Source organism: Homo sapiens, chromosome 1 (assembly GCF_000001405.40).
Source record: "Homo sapiens chromosome 1, GRCh38.p14 Primary Assembly".
Lineage (NCBI taxonomy): Eukaryota > Metazoa > Chordata > Mammalia > Primates > Hominidae > Homo > Homo sapiens.
In genome coordinates, this window is record NC_000001.11 from 56,132,729 (window position 1) to 56,141,532 (window position 8,804).

General features: G+C 41.2%; 2 annotated features.

Moving 5' to 3' along the window:
* Positions 556–1,755: an enhancer, noted in NCBI's record as "MED14-independent group 3 enhancer chr1:56598956-56600155 (GRCh37/hg19 assembly coordinates)". NCBI's record gives its function as "activates an origin of replication core promoter dependent on BRD2, BRD4, P300/CBP and CDK7 cofactors, and independent of MED14, by STARR-seq in HCT116 cells {active_cell/tissue: HCT116}" and the evidence as "EXISTENCE:reporter gene assay evidence [ECO:0000049][PMID:35650434]".
* Positions 2,678–2,767: an enhancer, noted in NCBI's record as "active region_1075". NCBI's record gives its function as "activates an Ori minimal core promoter by ATAC-STARR-seq in GM12878 lymphoblastoid cells {active_cell/tissue: GM12878}" and the evidence as "EXISTENCE:reporter gene assay evidence [ECO:0000049][PMID:35858748]".

Below are 8,804 nucleotides of genomic sequence, written 5' to 3' on the forward strand. Positions count from 1 at the left end.
TTAATCAGGCAACGCAGACTAAACAAGCCTCCACATTTCCTTCCTCTGGGTTTTAATGAAAGTTCTTTCTAACCAAGAATGAAAACAGTCATTTGTTCATTCAACATTCGCTGAGCACCTGACAGGCCTTGTGCTGGGCACAAGAGATGAAGAGACAAATGAAATACAATTCTTCTCCTCAAGGAGTTCAAAGTCAGGCAGGCAAGACAAACACATAAATAGACAATAAAAATACAAGATGGTGAGTATTCTAACAACTTTGAACAGAGGTCTAAGAAAAAGCAAGGTCCTTTGTCTGGTACTTGGAGAAGCCTCATCAAAGAGCTAACACTGGAGCTGGGTTTTAAAGGAAAAGTAGGGAATTATCAAAAACAGATAAGAATTATAGTAATAATTCTAGAAACTTATTGACTGCCTTTCATGAACTAAAACATAGGCCTTTATCATTAACTCTCACGTCAATCATATTCTAGAAACAATTAAGCTGGAGCTCAGAAAAGAAACAGCATGTCCAGATTCACAAAGGTAGGAAATGGCAGAGCTAAGTCTCATGCCAGGTTTTTCTGGCTCTAAAAACTCTTTTATTTCAATACTGCTATTCCAAATGGAGATAAGAGAGGCAGAATGATACCTTCAGGGAAAAGTGAGGTTTTGAGACTAGCTGAAACATAAAGCCCTGGGGGAAAGGGCTGGGAACAGAGGCTGGAAGATGGCAGTAAGCTCAGATATTAAAAGGCCTCACATGTGTCACCCCATTTAGATTGTTTTGTAATTATTGGGAAGCCATAATCATATTTCTAATTTATAAATGTCATTCTAACAGAAGTGAAGAGAAAAATTGGAGGCATATGGAAGACAAGGAGACCAATCAAAAAGCTGTTGTCTTCTTCCAGGCCAGAGACATTTGAGACCTGAATGAAGAATGTATTTAGTGAGCATACAGATTGCAAAATCAATATGAGTTGGAGCAATTCTGGAATGGGTCCCCCCATAAAACATGACTGTGCATTCCTAGAAAAGCTCTTTGAGATCATCTGCATTTTGTAGATGGAAAGTTGAGGCCCAGAGAGGAGACAAGGAAGTGCACAGAGAGTGTCAGCTTCAGAGCTCACTCCATCTCCTGACCCAGATGGGATCTGATGCCCTTACCTGTCTTTTTGGCAGCCTCTCATGGGAGCTATAACACAGGCCCACACCACCACATCACTGGACATTCCCGCCTGTGAGATGCAGCCGTTTCTCTTTCCCAGCAAGTCATTCTGGAATATCTCGCAGTACATGGACAAGATCCAGCCATCTAGGAAGGCTGATGGGAGGAAGCCCTAACAATGAACAAATGTGCAGGGAAAACCCCCAGTGATTCCCCAAATGAGCTGAAGCAAAGCAAACCTTCCGGACCTCATGCTTCACTGAGCAGGCAGATTGTCTGAGCAGGACCAGGTGATGAGGAAAAGCAGGATGGTATAACTTGCAATTCCTGAGACAAGCTTTGAAGCAGAAGCCCAGGTGCAGTCATTACATTACTAGGAATATCACTTACCTTCCTCTGTGTGCCAGCAGCCCATGAGGGGAAAGAAGGAGCACTGTGCAGAAGTGCCCTCTAACTAGAGACCTATAGCTTGTTTTTGGGTTTTTTTGTTTGTTTGTTTTTGTTTTGTTTTATGAGATGGAGTCTCGCTCTGTCACCCAGGCTGGAGTGCAATGATGCAATCACGTCTCACTGCAACCTCCACCTCCCGGGTTCAAGTGATTCTCCTCCCTCAGCCTCCTGAGTAGCTGGGATTACAGGTGCCCACCACCATGCCTGGCTAAGTTTTGTATTTTTAGTAGAGATGGGGTTTCGCCATGTTGGCCAGGCTGGTCTCGAACTCCTGACCTCAGGGGATCCACCTGCCTCGGCCTCCCAAAGTGCTGGGATTACAGGCATGAGCCACTGCACCCTGCCACATGTGGCTTGTTAAAGATCTTACTTTGTGTTAACAATGACCACACCAATTCCAGCATCCTGCACAGACTCATATTGACCTCCTGTGGCCACCTGTCCAGCATCCCAGGAGGCTCTGCTGGCTAGCTTGGATTTCCTCCTAGCTAACCCTTTAGCTCTCCGATCCTCAGCAGACCGAGGCCTGATATCATCCTTACCTCCCAGTTAGCTCCTCTCCTCTGAAGGGGGAAGCCAGGAGCAGGGAGAGCACAGTCTACGGGCCAATGCCGGGGCACCCCTTCCCAATTAGCCAGAGCCTCATCCCTGAAAACATCTTCAGCCTGCTGGCGAGTGCAGCCTGGTGTGATGCTATACCCATATTCCCTAGCTTGTATGGTTACCTGACTGCCAAGAGCCAGCATCCTATTGGTCTAGTGAGTCTACACCAGGTGGCCAAGTGAGTGGCAAAGAACAGAGAAAAAATATGAAGCTACAGTAAAAATGGTCCAGACAACTTTGAAGACAGACAGGAAACAGGGCATCCAGAGGACTTTCAGATGCAGGGTATAAGCACATGCAGCAGCATTATATGTATCGTCAGTGCCAGCTAATTCAGGCGAGGCAGTTTCTTCTCAAGAGGCTAAGAAAGGAAGACAATTACCTTTCTGGTGTTCTCCTCACAGCTTACCACCAAGAGCCTTCTGGGGATCTGGCATGTTGAAAATGCTCTAGCCGGTTCTACCTCCCTACCTTTGGTCATTTTCTTTTCCTGCCTGGCATCCTCTCTGACCTTTCCCTTAACTCTTATCCATAGTTAATGTTCCAGCTCATTTTACACCTTCTTTCCCACAAAGCTTTCTGCCTTAGTTTGAGTTACTCAGAAAACAAAAGCCTGAGTCAGAGACCCAGATGCTGGTCATTTACTTGAGAACAATCCCAAGAAGCAGAAGTGAGAGTGTGTGATGAGTGAAATGGGAAAGGAAAAACCAATATAAGGTATATTGTCAAGGTCGCCATTGCCAGGACCTCCTGAGAAATGTAAGGCATGCCTTCCACAATTATCCACCAGTTGTATAGGAAACTGGAGCATTTATCCATAGGCTTCTTCACTCCTTGTTCCCCTTCCCTTGTTCCTGAATGAGGGTTGCCCCCACAGTACTGTCTTAGTTTATTTAGGTTGTCCTAGAAGCAGAGCCTGAGACAAGGATTCGAGTGAAAGTCATTTAAGAGGTGATGCAAGGAAGCACCTGTAGGAGAGTGGGAACTTGATAGTGTGAAGGAAGGAAGCCAATCAAGGGTGTGAGAGCAGGCAAGTTACCACTATAGGCAGCTGGAGCTGAATCCTGCTGGGGAGCTGCCAGTGTAGAAACATGCCTCAGATTTATCCCTGCAGAGAGATTGGCTGGAGGGACTTTATCCACCACTTTCATAAGTCATCACTTGAGGTTTATGCCATGGGTTGGGGGTGGGAGTTTAATTTCCTGGCACTTCCTTCATTCCCAGCATATAGACAGAGTGGGGTCTTGCTGTCAGAGAGAGCCTGCAGGCAAAGATTTACAGCTACTCACCCATTGGAAGTAAAGTGTATAGACTTTACTCTCTACAAACTAGAAAACATAGGTGTAACATCTCCCCCAGGTTGTGCCCTCCAGCAGGCTGAAGATGCTCCCAGGGTCCTGAAGGAAGAAGCTGAAAGACAGGGACTCTGGCAGAGGGAAGTGATTCTGAACTGCCTACAACTGTAGTTGAAGTTAGAGGTGGGTGAAGGGCAAGGGCAAATGGAGCACCAAGGGTGTGTCTAACACCATCACTGACTATGCCAAGCCACACTGATTGTTTCTGTCCTTCCTCTGAGCACCCTTTTTTTAGTATCCTTAGACATGCATAGGTTGCCCTATATATACATGTAAGTTGAGCACTTGAAAGTAGAATGCAAACTTTTGGGATTAAGGCTCTGTGACTTAGCCTTTTTAGCACTTAGCAGAAAGTTTTGTATCCAACTATAACTGTCTACTTTTGCAAGAAAATTGAAGCATTCATCATGATCTCCCTCCCTCCCCTATCTATAAAGTTATCTTCATATTTATGTTATATATATGAAGTTACTTCATATATATGATGTAAGATATATATATATATATATATACACATATATATATATATATATATATATATATGAAGTTATCTTCATGTCTTACATCTGTTACTCCTATCTTGGAAATAACAAGAAAGAGGTTTCTCCTTTCGCTGATTAAGGTAAACCCATCTATCTGCTCATGTTTTCTATGCCATTGATTTCACTCCTCTTCTGGGAATCCTCACTCCTTTAGTTATCTCTTCTTGCAAATTGTCTGTGTAGCAGGTATGTGGGCCAAGTGGTGGTCCTGAAATCTGGACCATCCTACTCCATTTCTTCTTTGCTTGAAGCCTCAGAGTAGCTGAAGAAACAAACCCTTGGGATAAACTGCAGGATCTGTAGTGAGCAATCAGCTGTGGCTCTACCAGGGCAACCAAAAAACCTGCATTCCATCTAGCTTGGCAAGGGACTCCATTCTGTATGATCAATTGTGTAATATTAGACTGGGAAAGGGGGCACCTGCTTTCTCCTTCCCTTCAGTCCTGACAGGGTGAGGAAAAACAGAGCTCGTGGGATAGGAATGAAGCGTGAAAATGCCCTAGTCATGCCCAACACACGTTCTGTCCTCAGCTTCCCTCTCTAATTCCAAGGCCTGCCATTCCCTAATACCCAGCTTAGCTTTCAGAAAATAAACTGCTCCTTGTCAAAATCATTTGAATTCCTTTACAATATAGAACGTTCCTGTTGACCTCCATGGAATCTAGAAAATTAAATGCCTCAAAGATGCGGAACATGGATTGGAGAACTACAATAATATTTTTGCCATGTTTTCTGCCTCCTGAAATCCTTTTGGGAACATAGTTGGAATAAATAACCCTACATAACTTAAAAACAATTCATTCATGGCACTTCTCTTGACCCATTCTATCTTTTCCCCCTGTCTGATTCCTACTTCCCTTCTTGCCACAGGCCTTCATGTTAATGAGTTTGAAATATGTCCTTAAATATTTATGCTTACTTGTAAAATATGTAGTGTTGGCTTGGGTGTGTATATGTCTTTAACTTATATAAATCATATGGTATTATAAATTTCATTCTGTGTCTTTTGTGACTCAATGCTAGAGATTTGGGAGGTGAAATGAGGTAGTGTTTGTTTAATCTTTTTTTCATTTGAAACACATCACACATATGAAAGAGTGCATGAACTTTAAAACCCTCGTGTATGGTCATCCCTGATATCATCTCCCCCTCCACACTAGAGGAACTTTTTAAGCTAAACTTAATGTTAATCACTTTCTTTTTTGTTGTTTTGTCCATTTATTTTTCCTGGTCTCGGACTTTATGTAGTGAATCATACAGAATGTATTCCTCAATGACTTGCTTTTTTGGCTGAACTTTTTTTTAGATTTATCTATGTTGCTAGTATAGCTGTGGTTTATTCATTTTCATTGGTGTACAATGTGCTGCTATACCATACTTTATTTATCTGTCTACCACAGGTAGACATTTGGATTTGTTGCTGTTGTTGTTTTTGCTATTCTGAATAACGCTGTTTTAAACATATTGACCTTGTTTTTGTGTGCAGCTGGACAGAAATTTATCAGTGGAACATATCTAGAATTGGCTGTGCTGAGTCATAAGGAGTGTCACTCTTCTGTTCTAAGCAAGGCAAAATTACGTTCTAACGTTAGTATACTCACTCACACTCTCTCCCATGGAGTTTGATAATTTTCTTCTTCATATTCTTGGAAATAGTGACATTGTCAAACTTTTTATTGTCAACCTAGTGGTCATAAAAAGGTATTCAATGTGCATCTCCTCAATTGCCAATCAGCTTGAATATCTTCATAACTTTATGAAACACATATGTTTTCTCTTATGTAAAAGTCCTGTTTGTATTTTTTGCTTATTTGCCCTTTAAGTTTTTGATCTTTTTCTTAAGAATTTTTAGGAGAATGTGTGTGTGTGTGTGTGTGTGTGTGTGTGTGTGTGTATGTGTATTATGGATACTAATCCTTTGTCATGTATATATTACAAATATCTTCCAGCTTTGGATTTTAATTTTAGCCCTGTTTATGATATCTTTAGTAAATAGAAATCTCTAATTTTAATGGGATAGAATTGATCAATTGTGTGTGTGCTATGTTATGCATAAAAAATTATTAGCCCAGTATGGTGGTGCGTGCCTGTAATCCCAGCTACTCAGGAGGCTGAGGCAGGATAATCGCTTGAACCTGGGAGGTGGAGGTTGGAGTGAGCCGAGATCATGCCACTGCACTCCAGCATGGGTGACAGAGTGAGACTCCGTCTCAAAAAAAAAAAAAAAAAACTTTTTTTTCTTGTTGTCCTTAAGATTTTTCTATGTAAATCAAATGCTAAAATGGTACACCATCAAGGCCTTATTCATGTTATTTGCCTTCTCTGAAACTTGATTTGTGAAATAATTTTGTCCCGAGGGTTTCATGGGGGTTACATGTAATAAGAGTGTACGAAAGAGCCTAGCAAAGTACATCACACATAATTGGCACTCAGTATATGTTAGTTCATCCACTGGAACATAGTTCTAGTTCTATATTTTGAGGCTTAGGTATTTGCAAGTAACTTAGTTTTTAACAGGAAATATTTAGTCCGTGTTATTTATATGCTGGACATTTTGTAAATGTTTTATTCTTCACAAACCATGTAAGGTAAATAATATTATCATTACCATTGTACAGAAGAGGTAATTTAGACTCAGAAAGAATAAGTTACTTACCTTGGGTAACACACACTAAAGGGCAGTGCCATTATTATATTTGCTATATGCCTTTCTACCTAGACTGTGAAATACCTTATGGGAGGATCTGCATTCAAAGAATGGCAAGAATCCTATAGCGCTGGAAAATAAACTATATCTGTAGGTGTGTGGTGTGAATTTGAGGATGTGGTAAACTGGAAAAGATAAAAGTGGTCTACTTATTGCTTTTCACTTTGCAGAGCATATAATATGATTTCCCATGGTACATATCCTCCATTCATTCCCTCAGACCTGACTCAGAGTCTCTTAAAACCACCCATTCCCCTAAGTGTCTACCTTGAGCCCACTGCCTTCCTGATTTGCATCCTAAAGACAGTTGCCCATAATTTAACTAACCACATTGTTCCTCTCCAAGGAATTCCACATCCAGTGGAACATTGCTCCAGTCGTAAGGTAACGGGACGCCAGAGACTATCTTCCTGTCAGAATCTTGAGTCACCCAGGGCACACGTGTCAACAGGGTTTAAAGCTTTGTTTGTTTGCCTCCCCAGACAGACGTTGAAACAGAATCTCCCACCACCAAACTGCCTAGACAACCAAGCAACTCAGTAACCACTTACTAAAGCTAACAGTCTTTTGGCATTCAGTTTCCCACCAGATGAATTATAGCATAGTGTACAGTGAATTCATTCAGATCACTGAATGTTAAATGTGGAGGCCCTTAGTAATTACCTAGACACCATTGTAGCAGGAAGGGAACAAAATGCAAAGAATGAATGCAAGCAAATCCCTTTACCTTAAATGTACATCATGGGTTGAAGGATCTAGTATTACTGAGTTTCCCTCATCTACAAAATGAAGATTTAAAATATCTATCCTTCCTACATCATAGGGTTGTTGTGAGAATCAAATTCAATAATAAATAATATCCATGCCTCTGTGATGACCTGCTTTAAACCAAGTATAAAGTTGTATATGTAAGAGAAGGAGAGCAAATGCAAATGTGTTGAATTAGTCAAGAAATCTAAAAAATTCAATTTTAAGTAAATTGTCCCATAAAATGCATAGCTAAATATTACAGATTTGGACATTGCTATTGTTTGAATATGATTTGTCCCCACCAAAACTCATGTTGAAGCTTGGTCTCCAATGTGGCAGTGCTGAGAAAGAATATCTTTAGGAGGTGATTAGTTCATTAAGAGGGATTAGTGCCTTTCTTGTGGGAGTGAGTTTTCATCTCTCACAGGTTATCATCAGAAGCGGACCAGATGCCTGGCCCTGGATCTGGGACCTCCCAGCCTCCAGAATTATGAGCGGCATAAGCTTCTTTCCTTTATAAATTACCAAATCTCAGGTATCCTGTTAAACCAACAGACAATTGACTAAGACAGGTATGTGTTTTTTGTATTGGATAGACAATATGGAGCAAGTACACAGGGCATGCGGCTGATTCCACAAAAAAAAAGGGCCAGTAATTCTGTTTTAAGTTGTGTCTACATAGAACATAAGGGCCATTATTCTACAATATTCCAAGATGTCATCAACAATAATTTCTTGAAATAAAGCTTTTGATATTATTGAGAAACAACAAGTTCAAGACTATACTTTATATAAATTGTTACAATAAAGTTTGTTTTGTCTTTTGCTGCTTAACTTACAACCCCATAACAATAGCAACTAATTGTGTAGGTTGGCTTGAAGGTTCCTCTGGCAAATGTGCCAAGGCTTGCTTGCATAGCCACACTCAGCTAAAGATCTGCCTGGGCTGGAAGTTGGCGTCATTCACAAGTCTGGGAGAGGCTATTGGCTATCAGTTGGGGTGCCTGAGTTCTTCTCCATGTGGCCTCTCACCTTCTAGGTGACTGGACTGACTTTCCTAGATGCCTTCTCAGGGCAGCCATCCAAGAGGACAAAGGAAGAAGCAGCAAGGCCTTGCAAGGCTTAGTTTCAGAAGTCACATAAATTTACTTCTGCCAATTCTATTTAGAAAAGTGATTCACTAGGATGTCCAGATTCAATAATTTTTCTTTTTTTTTTTGAGACAGAGTCTAGCCCTGTTGCCCAGG